This window comes from Homo sapiens, chromosome 19 (assembly GCF_000001405.40).
Source record: "Homo sapiens chromosome 19, GRCh38.p14 Primary Assembly".
Lineage (NCBI taxonomy): Eukaryota > Metazoa > Chordata > Mammalia > Primates > Hominidae > Homo > Homo sapiens.
In genome coordinates, this window is record NC_000019.10 from 13,860,550 (window position 1) to 13,882,230 (window position 21,681).

Genomic DNA, 21,681 nt, shown 5'->3' on the forward strand with positions numbered 1-21,681 from the left:
CATCTGTAATTCCAGCACTTTGGGAGGCTGAGGTGGGCGGATTGCCTGAGCTCAGGAGTTTGAGACCAGCCTGGGTAACATGGTGAAACCCTGTCTCTACTAAAAATACAAAAAAAATTAGCTGGGTGTCGTGGTGGTTGCCTGTAATCCCAGCTGAGGAGGTCTGGAATGGGGTGAATGAGGGAGGGAGTGGAGAGGGTGAGGCAGAGAGGAGACAGGAGACTGTGCAAAGCCTTCTGGGTCCTGGGGAGGACTTTGGCTTTTGCTCTGAATAAGGTGGGAGCCATTGAGGGTTCTGAGCAGAGGAGGGACTGGACCTGACTTGGGTGCTCACAGGCGCCCCGCCCCGGCTGCTGTGGTGGGGAGGGGATTAGGGGGATGGGGACAGACTGTCGGGGGCTGCAAGGTGTGCAGAGAGGTGGCAACTGGAGCAATTCTGGGGAGAGATGATGGAAGCCGGACCAGGGTGGGCCTTGGAGAAGTCAGGATTCTGGATGCATTAGAAGGGACAGTAACTAGCCTGGGAGCAGTGGCTCATGCCTGTAATCCCAGCACTTTAAGAGGCCAAGACGGGTGGATTGCTTGAGTCTAGGAGTTCGAGACCAGCCTGGGCAACATAGCAAGACCTATCTCTACTAAAAATACAAAAAAATCAGCCAGGCGTGGTGGCAGGTGCCTGTTGCCCCAACTATTTGGGAGGCTGAAAGAAATGGGAGGATGGCTTGAATCCGGGAGGCGGAGGATACAGTGAGCAGAGATCGTGCCACTGTACTCCAGCCTGGGCGATAGAGCCAGACCCTGTTTCAGAAGAAAAAAAAAAAAAGGACAGTAAGCAAAATTGTTAATGGGTTGCATCTGTTAATAAAAGTTTTTGTCTGAGCAGCTGGGAGGATGGAGCTGCCATTTCCGGAGACCGGGAAGATGGCGGGAGACCGTTTGCAGTTGAGGAAATGAGCTCTGAGCCCAGGGCTTCGTTCTGGCCCTGAAGTGTCCCTGCCCAGACTCTGGTGGGGTGCGGAGGAAAGCACCCACATGGCCTAGGCTTTGCCTCCTCGGGGCTTTCTCTCGGTCGATGCCTGAGTGTGCAAACTACACCCACATCTGAGTATACAGGGGCACCTCCGAAGACCCCCACGGCCTGACACATCCACCCAGTGTCCAATGGCCACAGCCTTGGGGGACTTCGGGGGCTGGAGTTCCGGGCTGATGGAGTTGAGAAGGGCTGCCTGGCTCTTACACCCACCTTGGGTCCCCACGGAGACCCCCAAGGGGACAGGAGGTGAAATCTCCCAGGGAGAGGTTCAGGAAGAGCTGCTGCTGTGTCGCAGCCCTGGGCTCCCCCTATGAGTCAGCACTGGCAGGGGCCCCAGGAACTGGGGACCGGGGGTGTGTAGGGGGGAGGGCAGTTCCCACGCCCTAAGGCGTCTGGGGCGCTGGGGCTTCCCCCACCGCTCCTCCCATCCTGTGCTGGGCTCTGGGGATCTTCAGAGGAGTCTGGGGGGTGAGAAGCCCAGGGCGGATTGGCCACTGGGCCAGGATCCAGGAATCCTCTCTCCTGGTCTGACCCAGTTCAGGAATGCAGAGGCCGCCCGCCCCGGCAAATGCGTTGCAGCAAGAAGGAGAGTTAGACGTAGAGAAACACCGAGTGAGTTGGACATTTGTGTGGACGGCACTTCTAGGGGGCTTTATTTAAGAAGGGGCCCTTCCTTCTGGGGACTCTGCATTTGAGCAGTGGAGGCTCCAGCCTGGGGTGTCCAGGCAGAGTCCTCAGCTACCGTGGAGTGGGAGGTGGCGGGGAGGAGGGGGAGGAGACTGCGCTGAGAGCTGAGATCAGTCCCGCCGGCCTCCACAGCTGGGAGGGCGCTGGACTCTGCTGCCCCCTGCTGGTGGCTGCAGGAAATTCAGCGAGCAGGACAGCTGGCCGGTCCTGGAGAAGAGACGGGGGGAAAGGCCTCGCACAGAAAGAATTCCAGCTCTGCCTTTTTTTTTTCTTTTTTCTTTTTTTTTGAGACGGAGTCTCGCTCTGTGGCCCAGGCTGGAGTGCAGTGGCACAATCTCGGCTCACTGCAACCTCCGCCTCCCGGGTTCAAGTGATTCTCATGCTTTAGCTTCCTGAGTAGCTGGGATTATAGGCGCGTGCCACCACGCCCGGCTAATTTTTGTGTTTTTAGTAGAGAAGAGATTTCACCATGTTGGTCAGGCTGGTCTCGAACTCCTGACCTCGTGATCCGCCCGCCTCGGCCTCCCAAAATGCTGTGATTACAGGTGTGAGCCACCACGCCTGGCCCCAGCCCTGCCTCTTACAGGCGGTACCACCTTGGGCAAGGGCAGGCCCCATCTGGGCCTCGGTTGCCCATCTGTGGAAAGGGCAGTATTCACTTCATTGGCCTGCTGGGAAGAATCTGAGATGATGATAGGCATTCCTGGGACCAGGAAGAAGGTTCGAAGATACAGCTGGGGAGAACTCTACCCTGGGCCCACCCTTCTAAAGAGAATAGTCCCTGCCTCAAGGGTTGCTCTGGTCTGGATGGGAGACGAGGCTCATACACGTCTATGAGTGGATGAATGAGTGAATGAATAAATGTGAATGTTGCATATTCCAAAGCAAGTCCCTCCCCAACCCCTTCCGCCTCTTTTTCTAAGAGAGGAACTCTTTCCCCAATACGCTCTTTTTTTTAGAGATGAAGTCTCTGTCTGTTGCACAGGCTGGAGTACAGTGGCACCATCATAGCTCATTGTAGCCTTGAACTCCTGGGCTCAACGGATCCTTTTGCTTCAGCCTCCCAAGTAGCTGGGACTATAGGCGCTCACCACCACACCCAGCTAATTTTTTTTTTAATTTTATTTTTGTAGAGACAGTGTCTCGCTGTGTTGCCCAGACTGGTCTTGAACTCCTGGCCTCAAGCGATTCTCCTGCCTCGGCCTCCCAAAGTGCTGGGATTACAGGCTTGAGCCACTGTGCCCGGCCCCCCTTGCCTCTTTTCTGTAAGAAGGGCTGGCCGGCAGGGGGGCGGGCGGCACAGGAGGGCCATCAACAGAGCTGACTGGCCCCCCCCAACCCCATGGAGGTATGATTACTAGATTGCAATGAACTCCCATTCTCTCCCCTGCACGTGTCTCTCCATCCCCACTCTGGGAGAAGACTTCCTTTGGGAGAGGTTAGGTGTAGACTACAGCTGGCCCCTCTAACCTTTGGTGGGGTTGGGGGTCGGGGGAGTGGTCCTGGAGACATCCACTCTCCTGGACCTGGAACCAGACTTTCTGGGCTGAGACCTGAAGGCAGCTGGACGATGTGGGAGGGTGAACCTGTCAAGGAGAAACTGAGGCAGGACTGTGGTGGAGGAGGCTGAAAGGAAGTGAGGGGTGCGCGATCAGGTGGGGAAGGGCCATGGCCCCATAAGGGTTAAGGTCTGGGCTTGGAAGGGGGCCAGTCAAAGGTTTCTCCATCCCCCTCTCAGACTGGGGTGGGGGATAAATAAACAGAATGAGAAATCTGTCAGCTCAGCCCGGGCCAATGGGAGGCTGCCTGGCGCCATGGTTTGCCCTGATGTGACCTTCCTCTACCAGCCGCGGTGGCCACTGCGGGCAGGGGCAGTGTGTGGAGCCTCAGCCAGGGTACGATCATTCCAGCCTTGTGCATGCTCTTATACCTGGGCAGGGGGAGGGGGGATGTCTGGGGAGGAGTACCGTCTGTGCAAGGATCTTTGGGAGATCCGGGGAGCCCCATCCTTTGTACAGCTTGCATGTGGTCTGTGCACCTGGCCTGTATATATGCTTGTGCCTCATGGTCCCAGGTACACATCCCCACGTGCCCCTGAATTGCGTGTGTCCATGTGGACCCCTGTGGCTCTGGGACCTGCTGGGGGTCTTGTGCATGTGGCTGTTGGCTGTGTTTCTCTGCCTCTGCGACTGGTCCATTTGACCCGAGTGGCTGTGCATATATGTGTGTGTCTGTGAACTTTGTGGATCTGTGTCTCCATGGGTGTGTTCTGGTTCTATGTCTATATCCATGTATTAGGTTATTTTGTGTGTGTCACGGTGCTCCTGTGGCTGTGTACCTGGGGTACTGTGTGTGTATGTTGGGGGGTATATCTCAGGTCTGTGGATACCCCAGTGCGTCTGTGATCTCCTGCGTGTCCGTGTGTCTTGTGTGAGCTGTGCGTGCCCGGGGTTCAGCCGCGTTTCTGCATATTTCGGTTCTAAGGACCTTCCCTCCTGTCCTGAATGTGGTGTGTCTGTGTACCTTGCATGTGTCTGGTGCCCCCGGGTGTCCCTCTGTGTGTAGCTGGGTTTTATGACCACCCTCGTGCGGCCCGGCACGCCCGCACGTCCCGCCACCCCCTCCCTTGGGTGTGTGTCTCGCAGCCCCCTGCACACCGTTCCCTATGTCTGTGGCCCGCGTGCCTTTGTGCGCGTGTGCTCCCCCCGGCGCCTTTGAGGTCTGCGTGCGTCTGGGTCCCTGCGTGTGCCCGCCCGCGCCCCCGTGTCCCTGATTCCCCCGCGCGGGCCCCGGGAGCTGCGTTTTGGAGACCCACGGGCATCCCCCGAGTGCGTCCCGGTGCGCCTGGCAGGAGGCCTCGGGACGCGCACGGCCGCGGCTGGACCCACCGCCCGGCGCGGCGCGGGGAGGAGGGAGGGGGCGGCGGCAGCGGGGAGCGCGGGCACGTCACCGAGACAGACAGGCGGGCGGGCGGCGGCGGCCACGGGTTCGAGCCGGCGCCGGAGCCCCGCGGCCCCCTCCCCCCCCCCGCCCACGGCCTAGGGAGCCCCCGCCCTGCCCCGGAGCCGCCGAAATGCAATTTCCCGTGCAGGCGCCTCGGGCCCGGGGGGCTTTTCCGGGCGGGTTTTGGAAAGAAGAGGGGGAAATGCGGCGGCGGCCCCAATCGAGGTGAGCGCGGGCGCCGGGCGGGCCGGGGGCACGGGCGGGGCGGGGGCCGCCCGCGGGCAGGGGGCGCGGCGGGGCGGGGCGGGACGCGGCCGCAGCCCCCTCGCGCACCTGCTCGCAGCCCCGGGGCGGGCGCCCCGGCCTCTGCGGCCCGGCCCTCCATTGTTGTTGGGGCTTGGAAGGGGGGCGGGGAGGCCCCGGCGGCATCTCTGCGTCTCGCCTTTCCGGAGAGGGGGCGCCGGGAGGGTCGGACTCTGCAAAGGGGACAGACCCCCGAGTCCCGGAGCCGGGGCCGCCAGGGGGAGGGCAAGCGGAGATGCCCTCGCGGGGCGGGGACGCGCGATGGGGGGCGTGGGGACAGCGGCGCCCCGACCGCCCGACACCTGACCGCGCGCGGGGAGGCCACGGGCCGGGGCGGCGGCGAGCTTTGTTCTTGGGGGCGCGGGGCGGGTGGGGCGCTCGGAAATCGAATGCCAGAAGAGAGTACGGCCCGGCGCGCGCGCGTTCGTGAAGGCTGCTCCGGCCAAGTTCATGGGCGCTCGGGCCTGCGGAGACCGATCCTGGCGGGGGCCCCGCTCAGGCCTGGCCGCGGGCTGGGGGTGCTGCAGCCGCGCCACCTCCGGAAGCCCTGGCGCCCTGCGCGGGCCGCCCCTCCGGCCTGTCATTACCGGCAGCAGCTGCAGGGTATTTACTGGGGCCAAGGTTTGCGAACAGGAACCCGCCCTCCAAAACTGGCCATAAAAAGGGAAAATGGCCCCGAATCCCACTGCCGGGGAGCCCTTTTAAAGCTACAGGGCGCCTTTCACGGCGACCTGCCCTGGAGGGCAGGCTGGGGGTGGGGGGGTGGAAAAGACACCTCATTGGCTGATAGGGACTGAGACGTCCCCCCCACGGTCCCACACTTCGGTTCCCCTCCCCCCATCTCTTTCCCTACCCATTCCACACCCCTGGACTGCTCACAGATGCATTAAGCCAGCCACGATTAGATATTCCCAAGGCCCTGATGGAGACCCCCAAAATTACACGCTATACACAGACATACAGCACCCCGATTAATACGCAGTCGAAAGTGATGCTGACACACACATACAGTCCCCACAATAACACTGCCACGTGTGTAGACACGTCACCCACAAGGGCTCGGACATCCAGGGATAGTGCCCATTGAAAGGCTGTCACACAGAAATGGAGCCACCAACGAAGGCAGCTACAACATAGACACAGCCTTTCGCATAACACTGACACACAGAAGTGGGTGTTCACCCACAGCATGTCACTCAGGGTAGCAATGACAAACGCAGATCCCTAAAGCCCATCAGTCAGGCACACACAGACTCCGACTCCATCGTTCACAATACCTGGGACACACACAGACATCCATGTGTCCTCCCAACCAAGTTCACACCTGCACACTCACAGTCACCCACAGTCACCCCCACCACACACACACACATACACACACACACAGACGGTACAAGGCCTGCAGAAACACATCTGACAGCAGGTCACACATAATCTTTTTTATTTTTATTTACTTATTTATTTTGAGATGGAGTCTCTCTTGGCTGCCCAGGTTGGAATGCCGTGGCACGATCTCCCGGATTCAAGCAATTCTCTTGCCTCAGCCTCCTGAGTAGCTGGGATTACAGGCGCGTGCCACCACACCAGGCTAATTTTTGTATTTTTAGTAGAGATGGGGTTTCACCATGTTGGCCAGGCTGGTCTTGAACTCCTGACCTCAGGGGATCCGCTGGCTTCAGCCTCCCAAAGTGCTGGGATTACAGGTGTGAACCGCCGCACCCGGCCACAGTTTCCTTTTTATTTTTTTGAGACAGGGTCTCACTCTGCTGCCTAGGCTGGAGTGCAGTGGCACGATCTAGGCTCACTGCAATCTAGGCTCACTGCAATCTAGGCCCATCTCCTGGGCTCAAGCAATCCTCCCACCTCAGCTTCCCGAGTAGCTGGGAGAACAGGTGCGCACCACCACACCTGGGTAATTTTTGTATTTTTTGTAGAGATGGAGTTTTGCCGGTTGCCCAGGCTCGTCTCAAACTCGTTGAGCTCTAGCTATCCACCCACCTCGGCTTCCCAGAGCGCCGAGCCACCATGCCTGGCCCAAATTTTTGTTTGTTTGTTTTGTTTTTTGAGACAGGGTCTGGCTCTGTCACCCAGACTGGAGTTCAGTGGCACGATCATAGCTCACAGCAGCCTCAAACTCTCAGACTCAAATGATCCTCCCACATTAGCCTCCCGAGTAGCAGGTCTCAGTAATCTTGATATACACACACATACAGACCACCCCCGCCCAAGAACACAACTGCACACATGGACACACAGTTGTTCACAGTAAAATGGATCCTCTTAGCCACCCACAAAGACACTGTCACCCACAAAGATATATGAGCACGAACCCAGTGGCCATATGCCCATCGTCACCTACCCTGAGACTTGTTTAGGCACTCAGACACCTGCACATCTACAATAATACTGACATACACACAGACACAGTAACACATGCATACACACTGGCATGCATAGACTCACGGGGAAATGACACACAGGCAGGCAGAAATCCTGTCATCTGGATGCCCACAAACCCAATAATATTTTTTTTTTTTTGGAGACAGAGTCTTGCTCTGTCACCCAGGCTGGAGTGCTCTGTCACCCAGGCTGGAGTGCAGTGACACAATCTCAGCTCACTGCAATCTCCAACTCCCAGGTTCAAGCGATTCTCCTGCCTCAGCCTCTCGAGTAGCTGGGATTACAGGCGCCCGCTACCATGCCTGGCTAATTTTTGTATTTTTAATAGAGACAGAGTTTCACAATGTTGTCCAGGCTAGTCTTGAACTCCTGATCTCAGGTGATCCACCCACCTCGGTCTCCCAAAGTGCCGAGATTACAGGTGTGAGCCAGTGCGTCCGGCCCCAATACTCATTTATTGAGCATCTGTTATGTACCCAGCACTGTTCTAGCACTGGGGATGCAGCTGTGAACAAGAGGGAAATCTGAACGAGCACAGTGGTTCACGCCTGTAATCTCAGCACTTTGGGAGGCCGAGGTGGCAGGATCACTTGAGATGAGGAGTTTAAAAAACATATTAGCTGGGCGTGGTGGTGTGCGCCTATAGTCTCAGGTACTAGGGAGGCTGAGGCGGGAGGATCGCTTTGAGCCCAGGAGTTTGAGATTGCAGTGAGCTATGATGGCACCACTGCACTCTAGCCTGGGTGACAGCGAGACCTAGTCTCTTTTAAAAAAAAAAAAAAGAATGAAATCCCTGTCTTCCCACACCTGACATTTTAGTGGGGAATGGGATGGGGGGGACACCATGACTGGATGATACAGACTCCAGTCACTCATAGTGACACCAGCAGACACCAGACACCCACGCACACTGGCTCACATGTCGACCTGGAATTACACACAATTAGCCTGATATACACCCACAGCAATGCTGACATCCACACACAAACAGAAGCCCACAGGAACTTACACACACACGCACACACACAGCTGGTGGAGAGACAGCCACCTGCTATAGCACACTCCCACCTGGACTTACAGACACCCACAGAACCCCCCAAAATACCTCAGCAAAGTAGCTTGGACCTGAAGCCCCTATTTATAGACCCATAGAAACATCCTACAAGAGTTCTTGAGACGGAGCCCACCCTGACCCCAAACCCAGGGTCACCCAGCACCATAAGCCTCAGTAGAAGTGTCTGAATTTCCCTTATTAAAAAATTTTTTTAATTTGTTTTTTGTAGAGATGAGGTCTCACTGCGTTGCCCAGGCTGATCTTGAACTCCTGGGCTCAAGTGATCCTCCTGCCTCGGCCTCCCAAAGCGTTGGGACTACGGGCATGAGCCACCGTGCCCGGCCTGAATTCTCCTTCAGCTTGGCCCCTCCATAGCCCCCAATCCCATTCCTGGAGAAGCCAGAACCTTCTCGCCTTCCCCAGCCCTGGCCTCACATCTGGCAGGCCTGGGAAGGAAGCTGGGCTCCTAGCCCACCCACCGCCCACGGGCTGGGTGGGACAGAGGAGCCCCTTGTCTGAGGACCCCTGGCATGAAAGACTCCCGCAGCTGGAAAGGAAGTGGGGGAGGTGGCCTGCGGAGGGTGGGGTGGGAACCTCAGAGCCCACGCAGGTATCACTGAAACGAGACACCCCTGCTTGCCAGTCTAGACAGCCTGGGCCATCACCGTGACCCCACGGAGACCCCCACAGGGCTCTTGGTGTCGCTGGAACCCCCATAATGGGCTCTTTGTCTGCCAGGTCCTGACGACCTCCCCCACCCCGTGTCCCCCTTCCAGGCCCAAGTACACACACACACACACGCACGCACACACACACACACACGCACACACATACAGTTACATACAACACACAGACACACAGGAGCATATATATAGGTACTCATGCGTGAACATACAGAGACACCCCCAACCCCCATGCACCAAGGCTCAGGGTTGAGATCGAGAGGAGACAGCTTGCCACCTCCCACCCTGAGGGACTTCACAGTCAAGACTTCAAGAATCACGGGCAGGACACACGGGCCGCCAGACACCCCTGGGAGCTTGGAGACCTGGCCTTCTAGCCATGCCCACCTTGTTCTTCAACTATTTTTTTTTTTTTGAGACAGGGTCTCACTCCTGTAGCCTGGGCTGGAGTGCAGTGGCGTGACTGCGTCTCACTCACTGCAGCCTCGACTTCCCTGGCTTCCGTCAGCCTCGACTTCCCTGGCTTGCGTGATCCTCCCACCTCAGCCTCCCAAATAGCTGGGACTACAGGCGCACACCACCACACCCGGCTAAGTTTTTCTATTTTTAGTTGAGCCAGGGTTTCACCATGTTGCTCAGGCTGGTCTTGAACTCCTGTGCTCAGTCAGTCTTCCTGCTTTGGCCTCCCAAAGCAGTGGGATGACGGGCATGAGCCACCCGGCGCCCAGCCTTGTTCTTCAGCTTGACGGTAGAGCTGCCTCCATCCATCCATCCATCCATCACTTGCTCACCTGCCTCTGCTAGGACTTCTCACCTCCGACTCTGATCCCCCGACTTGTGCCAGCTGCCCTGCACCTTCCTGGTGCTATGTGTGGGGGGGTGGGGGCAAGGCCCTGGGATAGCGTGGCTTTTTTTTTTTTTTTTTTTTTTTTTGAGACGGAGTCTCACTCTGTCACTCAGGCTGGAGTGCAGTGGCTCAATCTCGGCTCACTGCAATCTCTGCCTCCCAGGTTCAAGCAATTCTCGTGCCTCAGCCTCCCAAGTAGCTGGGACTACAGGTGTGCGCCACCATGCCTGGCTACTTTTTTTTTGTTTGTTTGTATTTTTAGTAGAGATGGGGTTTCACCATGTTGGTTAGGCTGGTCTCGAACTCCTGACCTCAACTGATCTGCCCGCCTCGGCCTCCCAAAGTGCTGGGATTACAGGAATGAGCCACCGTGCCCGGCTCATAACGTGGCTTTTAGAGGGCCGTCCCCCACACCCCACTTATCCCCAGCTCCCCTGCCCAGAAAGACCCTCCCAGCTGCACTGGGGTCAGGTGAGGGGTCCCAGGAACTAAGGATAAAGAAGAAGCAAAATGAAGGCCCTGAAAGACACCCCTACCCCCCATGCACTGAGGCTCAGGGTCACAAGCAGGAGGAGACAGCTTGTCACCTCCCACTCTGAGGGACTTCAAAGTCAAACCAGCAGACAGCTGCAACCAGACAAGCAGGGCAGGGCTGCAGACTCCCTCAGGGGACAGGAGGGGACAGGTATCACGGTCACCAGTCACAGACAGGAGATGGAGATGGGGGGTAAACAGCTAGACACATACAGGCAGATCCAGACAGTTTGAGGCAGGTGCACGGGCTGGGCAGGAGACCCAGATGGAGAACAGATGTGTGAGGGGCATAGTCCGACCCAGACAGACGACCCTGGGATGACCAAGAGACAGGTGGACCCAGATGGACACTGAGGGCCAGAAGCCTGCACGGACCACAGGCAAAGAAGAGAGATAGTCAGACCCAGGATTGGGGCTGCCGGCCTCCTGTCGCCCCAGCCCCAGCTTCCTGGCCTTCAAGACCAGACCCCTCTTCCACTGTGGTCTTGTGTCTTGTCTTAGGGAGAAACCTTACAGGGAACAACCTCCTTGGCAGTTCAAGGCCAAAGCCCTCAGAGGGAGGAGTGGGAGGCAGAAAGGACACACAGGAGGTGTCTGGGGAACCCCCTCCAACATAGCCAGAATGTCTCCTGCCTGATGACCCCCCGCCCCCAACATTAAAGCTGTTCACAGTCATCAAGAAGAAAGATTCCTGTGGGACGAGGTGGCTCATGCCTGTAATCCCAGAACTTTGGGAGGCCCAGGAGTTCGCGACCAGCCTGGGCAACATAGTGAGATCTCATCTCTACAAAACTTTTTTTTATTTGTTTGTTTTTGTTTTAAGTTAGCCAGGCCAGGCACCTGTGATCCCAGCTACTTGGGAAGCTAAGGTGGGAGGATTGGTTGGGGCTGGGAGGTCGAGGCTGCAGTGAGCTGTGATTGCGCCACTGCACTCCAGCCTGGGCAACAGAGCGAGACCCCGTCTCAAAACAAAACAAAACAAAACAACAACAGCAACAAAAAAGAGAATAAAGATTTTTCTTTTTTAAAGAAACGGGGTTTTAAAGAACCACTGCTGGGTGCCGTGGTTCATGCCTGTAATCCCAGCACTTTGGGAGGCCCAGGAGTTGGAGACCAACCTGGCCAACATAGTGAAACCCTGTCTCTACTCAAAATACAAAAATTAGCTGGCCATAGTGGCAGGTGCCTGTAGTCCCAGCTACTCAGGAGGCTGAGGCAGGAGAACTGCTTGAACCCAGGAGGTGGAAATTGCAGTGGGCAGAGATCGCGCCACTGCACTCCAGCCTGGGTGACAGAGCAAGACTCCATCTCAAAAAAAAAAAAAAAAAGAGAGAGAGAGAGAGATGGGGGTCTCACTGTGTTTTCCAGGCTAGTCTCAACTTCTGGGCTCCAGCCATCCTCCTGCCTCCCAACTAGCTGGGACTACAGACAAGAACCAAGCTTTTGAGGAATCTTGAGAGTTCTGGACTAACAGAGCCACTTACCTTCCCAGTCCACAAAATGGGTATATCCTGCTCACAGCGTGATGAATGTAGCGTTATCATCAGTAATGTAATTATTAACACCTGTGCTCCCAACTCACTCTCCTTCCCAAGTCCTAGGCGTTCTCCTCCTTAGAATGATGATCCACAAGGCAGGGGACCGGCCACCTCCCTCGGAAGGGCCTGGACACCTGGGGTGGAGGTGGCGGATAAAGAGAAGCCGATCAGGCCCCCCCACTCCACAGCCTGAATGGGAGGATCTGCTGGACGTGGCGGATGAGCTGCGAGAGAGGGCGCCCCACTCCAGCTCCAGACAGAGGGGTGGGAACGTGACCCCGACCCGGGGCGGGTGAGAGGGCGGGCTCTGGGGAAAGGGCTCTAGAAGGTGCCGGGAGGCGGGAGGGGGGCTTCGGGAGGGCGAGTTAGCCGGGATCGGGCTTGAGGGGCCCTACGAAATTCGGTTTGGGGGCGTGCCCGGTCGGGGCGGACCTTAGTGGGGGGTTGGGCTTCGTGGGGGCAGGACGCAGTCCCGGGGCGTCTATAGAGCAGGCTTTTGTGGAGGGCTCTAAGGGGGCGGGCCCTAAGGGAGCTGGGCTCTTTGAGGACTGGCTTAGGGGTTTGGCGGTGGGCTCCGTGGGAGTCTATATGGGCGGGTTTTAGAGGGAGTGTGTTCTGGGGAACAGGTCAAAAGCGACGGGGCTCTAAGGGGCAGGGCCTGGGCTGGGGCCTTGGCTGGTGGCTCCAGACTGTGGGTGGGGCTCTCGGGGGCGGGGCTCTCGGGGGCGCGTCCTCGGGGGCTCGGCCGGGTTCCGTTGCCACCACCGTGAGGGGTGTGGTGGGGGGGTGGTTCACGCAGCTCGGCACACTTGGGGGTCCCTCATCTACCTTGGGGTTATGCCAGGCGGTTATTTTGGGCCTCAGTATTCCCCTCGGTGAAATGCCAGGGGCCAGGAAATTACTTATTTTTTTGCGACGACGGGGTCTCGTCCTGTGACCCAGGCTGGAATACAGTGGCGCGATCACGGCTCACTGCAGCCTCGAGCCTCGAACTCTTGGGGTCCAAGCGATCCTCCCATCTCAGCCTCCTAAGTAGCTAAGACTACAGGCTCACTACACCACACCCAGCTAATTTTTTTGTAGGGACAGGTATCTCGCTATGTTGCTCAGGTTGGTCTCCATCTCCTGGGCTCAAAAGATCCTCCCGCCTCAGCCTCCCAAAATACTGAATTACAGGCCTGAGCCGCAGCACCCGGCCATGCCGGGTGCACCTTCCTAGGCCGTCCGCAGACCCAGGTCAGGGGCGAAGGCGCGCTCGCCCATCCCTGGTCGTCACTGCTTGGCTTGCGGGGGGTGGGAGATAGGGGTGCGTACCTGTAGGCCTGGGGGCACCCGGGGCGGGGGGGTGGTCGCCGAACTCTGTGCGATCACTGGAGGAAGGGACTGGGGGTCATTTGAGGGATGAGGAAATGGAGAGGGGGCGCCGCAGCCGGTTTTGAGGCCCAAGGGGCAGCCCCCACGTGGCTGCGCGGACTCCCTCCGGAAGTGCCCGAGTTCAGATGCTGTGTGACCGCGCACGCGGGGCGAGCGGCGCCCTCTCTGAACCTCCTGCCTCTCCCCTGTCTAGTGGGGCCCCAGTGCACTTGTAAAGTGGAGAGACCTGACGACCCCCCACCCCCAAGCGCTCCACTCACGCTGTTGTGATTCCTAAACCATCGTGCCCGGAACTCAGTGAAGCTCCCAGAACGTATTACATTGTATTAAAATGGCTTGTTTATCTCCACGTTGCATCAATGCCCTCGGGGCCAGGATCCTCCGTTGCCAGACTTCCCGGGAACACTTGGAATGCCTCCTCCACCTCGGACTAGCAGTGGCCTTTGGCCTCAGTCTCCCCAGTTGACAAAGGGGGGTAATCTGCACCTCCAGGATCACTTTGTGAATTACTTAAGGAGCGGGCTTGAGGCCAGCACTCCCCTGCACTGCTACATCTCCATCCCCATAGCAAAGGCTACATTTTATTTACTAGCATTTATATTTGCCTTGTGTTTTTCCCAGATCTAGGTGCAAACAGCACCTGAAAAGCGTTTGTTTATTTCATGAGAGAAAAGGGGTTCCTTACTCTCTCCTCCTCTCCCTCTTCATGCTCTCTGGTTCCCTGCCACCTACCCCACCCCCGACTCCAGGTCCCGGAAAATTTGCCAAGGGTTTGGGGGAACATTCAACCTGTCGGTGAGTTTGGGCAGCTCAGGCAAACCATCGACCGTTGAGTGGACCCTGAGGCCTGGAATTGCCATCCTCCTGCCGGTGACTCTGACCTTCCAGATCTAGGGGGGCCTGGGGAGCCCCCAATCCAGCCTGGGCACGTCCCCTCCCCTAGGCCACAGCCGAGGTCACAATCAACATTCATTGTTGTCGGTGGGTTGTGAGGACTGAGGCCAGACCCACCGGGGGATGAATGTCACTGTGGCTGGGCCAGACACGGCTTAAGGGGAATGGGGACTGGGGACAGGACCCCCCACCGCCACAGTCACTCAGCCTGTTTTTTGCCCTGACCCCAACCACTCCTCTTTGGAGAGGAGAGCTGGTGTCTGGAATCTGGATGGGCTCTGGCTGGATTTGGGACTAAATATTAGAGGGTTGGGGGTAAACAGGCTGGGGCAGGGCAGCTAAAATCCCCTTTTTTTTTTTTTTTTAAGACAGAGTCTCACTCTGTTGCCTAGGCTGGAGTGCAGTGGCCCAATCTCAGCTCACTGCAACCTCTGCCTCCAGGGTTTGAGTGATTCTCTGGCCTCAGCCTCCCAAGTAGCTGGGATTACAGGCATCTGCCACCACAGTGGGCTAATTTTTGTATTTTTAGTAGAGACGAGATTTCACTGTGTTGGCCAGGCTGGTCTCAAACTCCTGACCTCAAGTAATCCTCCCCCCTCGGCCTCCCAAAGTGCTGGGATTACAGGCATGAGCCACTTTGCCTGGCCTAAAACCCCTTTCTGAAATGTGGGTGGTAAGTTCTGCTCCGTGGAGTGCTCCATAGTTTTGTTTTTTAAATTAGAGACAGGATCTCGCTCTTGTCACCCAGGCTGGAGTGCAATGGTGTGACCTTAGCTCACTGCAGCCTCTAATAACTGGAGTCAAGCGTTGATCCTCCCGCCTCAGCCTCCCCAGTAGCCGGAACCACGGGCACGCACCACCACACCTAGCTTATTTCGAAAAAGTGTTTTTGTAGGAACAGGGTCTCAAAACGTTGCCCAGGCTGGTCTCCAACTCCTAGGTTCAAGCAATCCTCCTCGGCCTCTCAAAATGAGCCACAGTGCCTGGCCAATAAAAGTTTCTTAAATGAATGGATGGGTGGATGAGCTGTGTAAGCGGCACAGCGTCTCTCCTCTGTGTCCAAGTCCTGAGCACACCCTCCCCTCCTGGGACTGAGCTGAGATCTCATCTCGGGGAGGACACTGAAGACCTGTAGGTACTAGGGGTCCCCTCCTAACAGCCCAACTTGCTATCCCCCACCTCCCAACTCCAGAGGGTTCTTTCTCACCCCTCTGCAGCCCCCGCCAGGAAAGGGCTCCCTCCCCAGCACCTAGCCTCAGGGGGCCCCAGTAACTAGAAGAAGGAGGCAGATGTGGTGCTTTTTGTTGTTGTTGTTTTGAGACAGAGTCTTACTCTGTTTCCCAGGCTGGAGTGCAGTGGCTTGATCTTGGCTCACCGCAACCTCTGCCTCCTGGGTTCAAGCAATTCTTCTGCCTCAGCCTCCTGAGTAGCTGGGATCACAGGCACCCGCCACCATGCCCAGCTAATTTTGTGTGTGTGTGTGTGTGTGTGTGTATTTTTAGTAGAGACAGGGTTTCACCATGTTAGCCAGGCTGGTCTCGAACTCTTGACCTCAGGTGATCCGCCTGTCTTGGCCTCCCAAACTGTTGGGATGACAGGCATGAGCCACCACTCCCTGGCCTGGTGCATGTCTTTATAAATAACTGGATGGGCAGGTGGCTTCACACCTCAGTTTGCTCATCCATTCAATGGGGGTTCCACTAAGACAACCGATGTGAAAACTCTTGGAGGGAGACCAGAGCTGGGGGCCGGGGGGCATGATCCTTCCCCCCTACCCCCGCAACCAGCCCATGAGCCTGGGACTACCACACTCCTTTCAGAGACAGCTGGAGCATCAGCAACCTCCCGCCTGGACACACACACACACAAAGAACCCAGGGGCACCTGGCCACTCCCCCGCCCAGGGGAAGGAAGAAAAAGTTATAAAGAAGTTACTAAGTTAACTTCTTTAAGTTACTGGTAACTGCTAGTCTTTGGGGGTGGGGTTTCCAACCCATTCTCCCCATCCTCCAGTGGGGCTGGAGGGCTAAGGACTCCTACAAGGAGGGGAGGCAGGGTAGCCCCCCAATTCCCTGGAGGTGTGTACGGGGGGCTGTGGTGCACCTCGCAGGATGCCCCCCCACACACCCTGTGTCCTGTAGTCCCCCGGCACAGCCAGAGGCCATACAGCCCTTTAGGAGGAGTATTAGTGGGGCACCAGGCCCCCCTGTGACAATAAGGAACCTCCCACAGCCTGCTCCTCCCTCTTCACACCCCCTTGGAGGTAAAAGGAGGGTCGGCCAGCACAGACTCCCAGGCTCCAGAGAGGGGAAGGAAGGGGCAGCAGAGAGGGGTCAGAAGGAGGGAGCTTAAGCCAGGCAGGGTTACTTGTCTCTGTGACTCCTTCCGCCTGGCACATGCTGCCCAGCTATGGGGACCTTTGACCTGTGGACAGATTACCTGGGTTTGGCACACCTGGTTAGGGCTCTGAGTGGGAAAGAGGGTCCTGAAACCAGGCTGAGCCCCCAGCCAGAGCCAGAGCCAATGCTGGAGCCGGTGTCAGCCCTGGAGCCGATGCCAGCGCCGGAGTCGGTGCCAGTGCCGGGACCCAAGGATCAGAAGCGCAGCCTGGAGTCCTCGCCAGCTCCCGAACGCCTGTGCTCTTTCTGCAAACACAACGGCGAGTCCCGGGCCATCTACCAGTCCCACGTGCTGAAGGACGAGGCTGGCAGGGTGCTGTGTCCCATCCTGCGGGACTACGTGTGTCCCCAGTGCGGCGCCACACGTGAGCGCGCCCACACCCGACGCTTCTGCCCACTTACTGGCCAGGGCTACACCTCCGTCTACAGCCACACCACCCGAAACTCGGCAGGCAAGAAGCTGGTCCGGCCTGACAAGGCGAAGACACAGGACACAGGCCACCGCCGAGGAGGAGGAGGAGGAGCAGGTGCCTGCACAGGTGGCTGGGGGGGACCTGTCCGAGGGTAGTGGCTGAGCCCCCCTGTGAAGTAAGATTAGCCCCAGTACCCACCTCCAAGGGTTAGGGGAAGACCTTAGAGAGAGCTTAGAACAGCAGTTGATTTTATTTACGTATTTATTTATTTATCTTGAGACAGGTCTCTTTCTGTTGCTCAGGCTGGAGTGCAGTGGCGCCATCTCGGCTCACTGCAACCTCCACCTCCTGGATTCAAGCGATTCTCCTGCCCCAGCTTCCTGGGTAGCTGGGATTATAGGCGCGCGCCACCACACCCGGCTAATTGCCACCATGCCCGGCTAAATTTTGTATTTTTAGTAGAGATGGGGTTTCACCATGTTGGCCAGGCTGGTCTCAAAACTCCTGATCTCGTGATCCGCCCACCTCGGCCTCCCAAACTGCTGAGATTACAGGCGTGAGCACCGCACCGAGCCAGTTTGTTTATGTATTTATTTATTTATCTTGAGACAGAGTCTCTTTCTGTCACCCAGGCTGGAGTGCAGTGGCATGATCTTGGCTCACTGCAACCTCTGCCTTCCGGGTTCAAGCGATTCTTCTGCCTCAGCCTCCTGAGAAGCTGAGATTACAGGCGCCTGCCACCATGGCCAGCTAATTTTTGTATTTTTAGTAGAGATGGGGTTTCACCATGTTGGCCAGGCTGGTCTCGAACTCCCAACCTCGTGATCCACCCTCCTCAGCCTCCCAAAGTGCTGGGATTACAGGCATCAGCCACCACATCTGGCCCGCAGGGTTATTATAGATGCAGAAAGAAGACTTTTATTTTATTTATTTATCAATTTATTTTTCTTCCTTTTTTTTTTTAATTTTTTTTTTTGAGATAGAGTCTCGCTCTATCCACCCAGGCTGGATGGAGTTCAGTGGTGCGATCTTGGCTCACTGCAACCTCTGCCTCCTGGGTTCAAGCGATTCTCCTGCCTCAGCCTCCCGAGTAGCTGGAATTACAGGCGTGCACCACCATTCCTGGTGTGTTTTTTTTTTCCTCCCATAGAAACAGGGTCTTACTATGTTTCCCAGGCCGGTCTCAAACACGGCTTAGGTGATCCTCCTGCCTAGGCATCCCAAAATGCTAGGATTATAGGCGTGAGCCACCACGCCTGGCCCCAGTGAGGTTTTCTTTCTTTCTTTCTTTTATTTGATTATTTTTCTGAGATGGAGTCTTGCTCTGTCACCCAGGCTAGAGTGCAGTGGCGCGATCTTGGCTCACTGCAACCTGTCTCCCGGGTTCAAGCGATTCTCTTACCTCAGCCTCCCGAGTAGCTGGGATTACAGGCACCCACCACCACGCACGGCTAATTTTTGTATTTTTAGTACAGACGGGATTTCACCATCTTGGCCAGGCTGAGTCTTGAACTCCTGACCTCGAGATCCACCCGCCTTAGCCTCCCGAAGTGCTGATATTACAGGCTTGAGCCACCATGCCTGGCCCCCAGTGAGGTTTTAAAAGAGAAACTCGTTCTAGCAACTTAAATTGCCTTTGAGGAAGTCAGCTAACAGAGGAGGGGCCAGTCTAACTAGGTGTGTTTGGGCACTGCCTCCCCCAGCAGACTGTGAGCTCCTGGAGGATAGTGACTGGGAGAGGACGACCCCTCCCAACTACTCTCAGGCAGCTTTGCAGTGAACATTTCTTAAAGTCATGAAAGGGTCAGGTGTGATGGCTTACACCTGTAATCCCAATACTTTGGGAGGCCAAGGCAGGAGGATCGCTTGAGCCCAAGAGTTTGAGACCAGCCAGGGCAACATGGTGAAACCCAGTGTCTACAAAAAATTAGCTGGGCATGGTAGTGTGTGCCTGTAGTCCCAGCTACTTGGGAGGCTGACGAGGGAGGATCGCTTGGGTCCAGGGGACAGAGGCTGCAGTGAGCTGAGATGGTGCCACTGCACTGCAGCCTGGGCAACACAGCAAGACCTCGTCTTAAAAAAAAAAAAAAGCACTGGTCATGGTGGCTCATGCCTGTAATCCCAGTACTTGGGGAAGCTGAGGCAGGTGGATCACCTGAGGTCAGGAATTCAAGACCAGCCTGGCCAACATGGTGAAACCCCGTCTCTACTGAAAATACAAAAAATTAACTGGGCATGGTGGCATGCGCCTGTAATCCCTGCTACTCGGGGGGCTGAGACAGGAGAATCGCTAGAACCCGGGAGGTGGAGGTCGCAGTGAGCTGAGGTCACGTCACTGCACTCCAGCCTGGGCGACAGAGTGAGACTCCGTCTCACAAAAAAAAGAAAGCATGAAAGACTGCCTCCAGGAGAAGATAGTGTTTCCTGTGAGGTTTGATGCTGTCTCACTGGGAGACGCTGGAGGCCAAAAGGACATAGGGAAGATGGTGTCCTGCGGCCAGCCTTTCTGATGAACAACTTTTGGGAGTAACAGATCCGGGGACCCCAGAGCACGGCGGCCACGAGAGGGCACCACAGTCGCAGAATCGGAACTCCTGTGCTTTGTCTCGGGCTCTGGGTCCCAGCGGGGCCGCCCGGCGGAGCCAGAGACGTCACGGGGTCGCTGTCTCCGGAGCAGCCCCTGGGTGGCGCCAGAGGTCCAGCAGGCCCGGAGGCCGAGTCCGTGGGCAACTTGGGGAGCGTTGAGTCATCGCCTGTGATTAAGCATTTCTCTCCCTCCCCCTCCACTAGGTTTCAGAGGTGCCGGGAAGTCTGAGCCTTCGCCCTCCTGCTCTCCCTCCATGTCCACCTAGGAGGCTGCCTACACCTGGGCAAGGGCACCCGGGCTCGGCTGGATTTCCAGGAAGACCCACCCTATGACGACTGCCCCCACTCCCAGACCCTCCCCCCAGCCTGGGATTGAGCCCTGGGGATGACCCGGGGTTGGCAAGGGAAGAGCTGAAATCGCCCTGTCCTTGGGGACCCCACCCTTTGTGCCATCTGCCGTTTCCCTAGTGCTGGGCATCCAGTCAGCCCTCAATAAATGCTTATGAATGGATCAACAACAGACAAGCCCTGGTCTTGGGACAAGGTGTAGTGTGAACCTTGCTGGGAGTCCTGTACCTAGATCTCCCCTTCTCCTTCTTTGAGTTTCGGCACCCTGGGGTGCTGGGGTGAGCTGCTTTGTGCAGAGAAACACAAGTGGGTGCCTTGGGGTAGCTGGGGGGGTTCATGGCACCTCAAAGCCAGATCGACATCATGAGACCCTTTCTGTGGACATTTGGTCTTTCAGCCACCCCCTGCACTGACATGCAAGATGGGTGGACTCCTCCCATCCCACCCCCAGCTCCGTACTGGAGGTGGGGGCTTCATTTGAGGAAGAAATTGACACACAACTAGACAGAGCCCCCCCCCCCGACATCCTCATCACTAAGGAAGGTGAATGTTTATGTCACCATGGATGCCCCAGTGACAAGCCAGGCAGTTTAGAGCAAGGGAGGGACATTTAGGGGGCAGGGAATGGGACCATGTCCTGGGTGGGCTTGGGCAGGAGCAGAAGGATGGGGCTGTTCTGGCAGGGCGGGGGGGAAATGCATGTGGGGGAATCCCCACACCCCTGCCTGCCTCCTCCACCTCCAGATCTTGTCCTGTTGGGGCAACAGGTGGCAGTGCTCAGGAAGCCAGTGCGCCCACTGTGCAGTCCACATTCCTACCCCGCCCCCGTCCCACAAACCAGCCCTGAGGCCTGTGGTCTGGCAGCGGGGAGCAGGAATCGAGCTCTTTGCTGTCCCCTCTGCCCTTGGCTTTCCGACTTAAAAGACTTAAATTGGAACCGGAGGCCCTGGGGATGGGGGTGGGCTCTTGCAGACAGCTGGGTCGTGGAGGGGGAAGTGGGGAGGAGGAGAAAGAAAACAGAAGGATCCCAGCGGCTCCCAGGGTCTGGGAATGGAGTTACAGTTTCCTAGGGCAGAGCCGCTGGGGCTGGAGACCCGGGGAACTGGGCTTACACCAGGGCATGTCCTGGTGGACAGGGGGCTCACCTGGGTGTGAACCCACCCTGCTCTTTCCTCCCCTCCTGCATCAGGTCTCCAGGGTGTAAGGCTGCAGGGTGGGAGGAGGACCCCGCCTGAGCCATGGGAGCTGGGGTGCAGGAGTCACAGAGTGCTTCATGATGTCGAAGGTCCAGTCAGCCTTTCAGTGACAGATTTCACAGAGGCATTGTTTTCTGTAAACTGGGGATGACAGCAGCCCCTGTGGTTGCTAACAGGACTGTCATCTGGCTCGAGAGGCTTGCGTGGGATGAGAAATGCCACGACTTCAGCCATGTTTGCATCCATAACCTCCTGGGATGGCCTCCTTCCTGTCTGGGGCCCACAGGCAGCTTGTCCTGGAGGATGGGCCAAGCCACCGGAGCGCAGGACTCACCCTGCAGCTGGATGATCGCCCAGGGCGTCTCTTAGGCTTCGACCCGCGTGTATGCTCAAGAGCCTGCACACAGATGTGGGCACACAGTCACCCACCCCTGGAGATTCGCCCCCCC

At 57.2% G+C, this 21,681-nt stretch overlaps 1 protein-coding gene and 2 non-coding genes across 6 annotated transcripts, besides 8 other annotated features; all 3 read left to right on the forward strand.

The window, feature by feature from the left end:
* Positions 1,084-1,513: an enhancer, noted in NCBI's record as "active region_14145". NCBI's record gives its function as "activates an Ori minimal core promoter by ATAC-STARR-seq in GM12878 lymphoblastoid cells {active_cell/tissue: GM12878}" and the evidence as "EXISTENCE:reporter gene assay evidence [ECO:0000049][PMID:35858748]".
* Positions 1,487-20,208, forward strand: NANOS3 (nanos C2HC-type zinc finger 3). 4 transcript variants are annotated; one of them, NR_146096.2, is made up of 3 exons: positions 4,654-4,888; positions 17,119-17,216; positions 19,893-20,208. NR_146096.2 is itself a non-coding variant. In NM_001098622.3 (2 exons), the coding sequence occupies exons 1-2, from the start codon at positions 16,700-16,702 to the stop codon at positions 19,952-19,954; spliced, it is 579 nt and encodes a 192-aa protein (NP_001092092.1). In that variant the 5' UTR covers positions 16,585-16,699; the 3' UTR covers positions 19,955-20,208. The 4 variants fall into 4 exon arrangements, 1 of the variants encoding a protein (NP_001092092.1); NR_146095.2 differs by lacking the exons at positions 4,654-4,888; positions 17,119-17,216 and adding an exon at positions 1,487-1,645; NR_146097.2 differs by lacking the exon at positions 17,119-17,216.
* Positions 1,574-1,823: an enhancer, noted in NCBI's record as "active region_14146". NCBI's record gives its function as "activates an Ori minimal core promoter by ATAC-STARR-seq in GM12878 lymphoblastoid cells {active_cell/tissue: GM12878}" and the evidence as "EXISTENCE:reporter gene assay evidence [ECO:0000049][PMID:35858748]".
* Positions 4,023-4,908: an enhancer, noted in NCBI's record as "H3K4me1 hESC enhancer chr19:13975386-13976271 (GRCh37/hg19 assembly coordinates)". NCBI's record gives its function as "activates a minimal SCP1, AML or CMV promoter by ChIP-STARR-seq in primed H9 embryonic stem cells {active_cell/tissue: H9 hESC(primed)}" and the evidence as "EXISTENCE:reporter gene assay evidence [ECO:0000049][PMID:30033119]".
* Positions 5,391-5,480: a silencer, noted in NCBI's record as "silent region_10216". NCBI's record gives its function as "represses an Ori minimal core promoter by ATAC-STARR-seq in GM12878 lymphoblastoid cells {active_cell/tissue: GM12878}" and the evidence as "EXISTENCE:reporter gene assay evidence [ECO:0000049][PMID:35858748]".
* Positions 12,286-12,425: a silencer, noted in NCBI's record as "silent region_10217". NCBI's record gives its function as "represses an Ori minimal core promoter by ATAC-STARR-seq in GM12878 lymphoblastoid cells {active_cell/tissue: GM12878}" and the evidence as "EXISTENCE:reporter gene assay evidence [ECO:0000049][PMID:35858748]".
* On the forward strand, positions 14,150-14,259 carry MIR181C (microRNA 181c). The gene has a single exon (NR_029613.1). It is a non-coding gene; the product is annotated as a microRNA 181c (primary transcript).
* On the forward strand, positions 14,326-14,462 carry MIR181D (microRNA 181d). Its single transcript, NR_030179.1, has one exon. It is a non-coding gene; the product is annotated as a microRNA 181d (primary transcript).
* Positions 19,447-19,596: an enhancer, noted in NCBI's record as "active region_14147". NCBI's record gives its function as "activates an Ori minimal core promoter by ATAC-STARR-seq in GM12878 lymphoblastoid cells {active_cell/tissue: GM12878}" and the evidence as "EXISTENCE:reporter gene assay evidence [ECO:0000049][PMID:35858748]".
* Positions 20,720-20,809: an enhancer, noted in NCBI's record as "active region_14148". NCBI's record gives its function as "activates an Ori minimal core promoter by ATAC-STARR-seq in GM12878 lymphoblastoid cells {active_cell/tissue: GM12878}" and the evidence as "EXISTENCE:reporter gene assay evidence [ECO:0000049][PMID:35858748]".
* Positions 21,400-21,549: an enhancer, noted in NCBI's record as "active region_14149". NCBI's record gives its function as "activates an Ori minimal core promoter by ATAC-STARR-seq in GM12878 lymphoblastoid cells {active_cell/tissue: GM12878}" and the evidence as "EXISTENCE:reporter gene assay evidence [ECO:0000049][PMID:35858748]".

Bases quoted from the DNA above. Each gene is read 5' to 3' on its own strand.
- NANOS3 (NM_001098622.3), top strand. From the start codon at position 16,700: ATGGGGACCTTTGACCTGTGGACAGATTACCTGGGTTTGGCACACCTG. The intron at 17,217-19,892 runs GTGCCTGCACAG...CCCCTCCACTAG, and splicing joins AGGAGGAGGAGGAGGAGCAG to GTTTCAGAGGTGCCGGGAAG.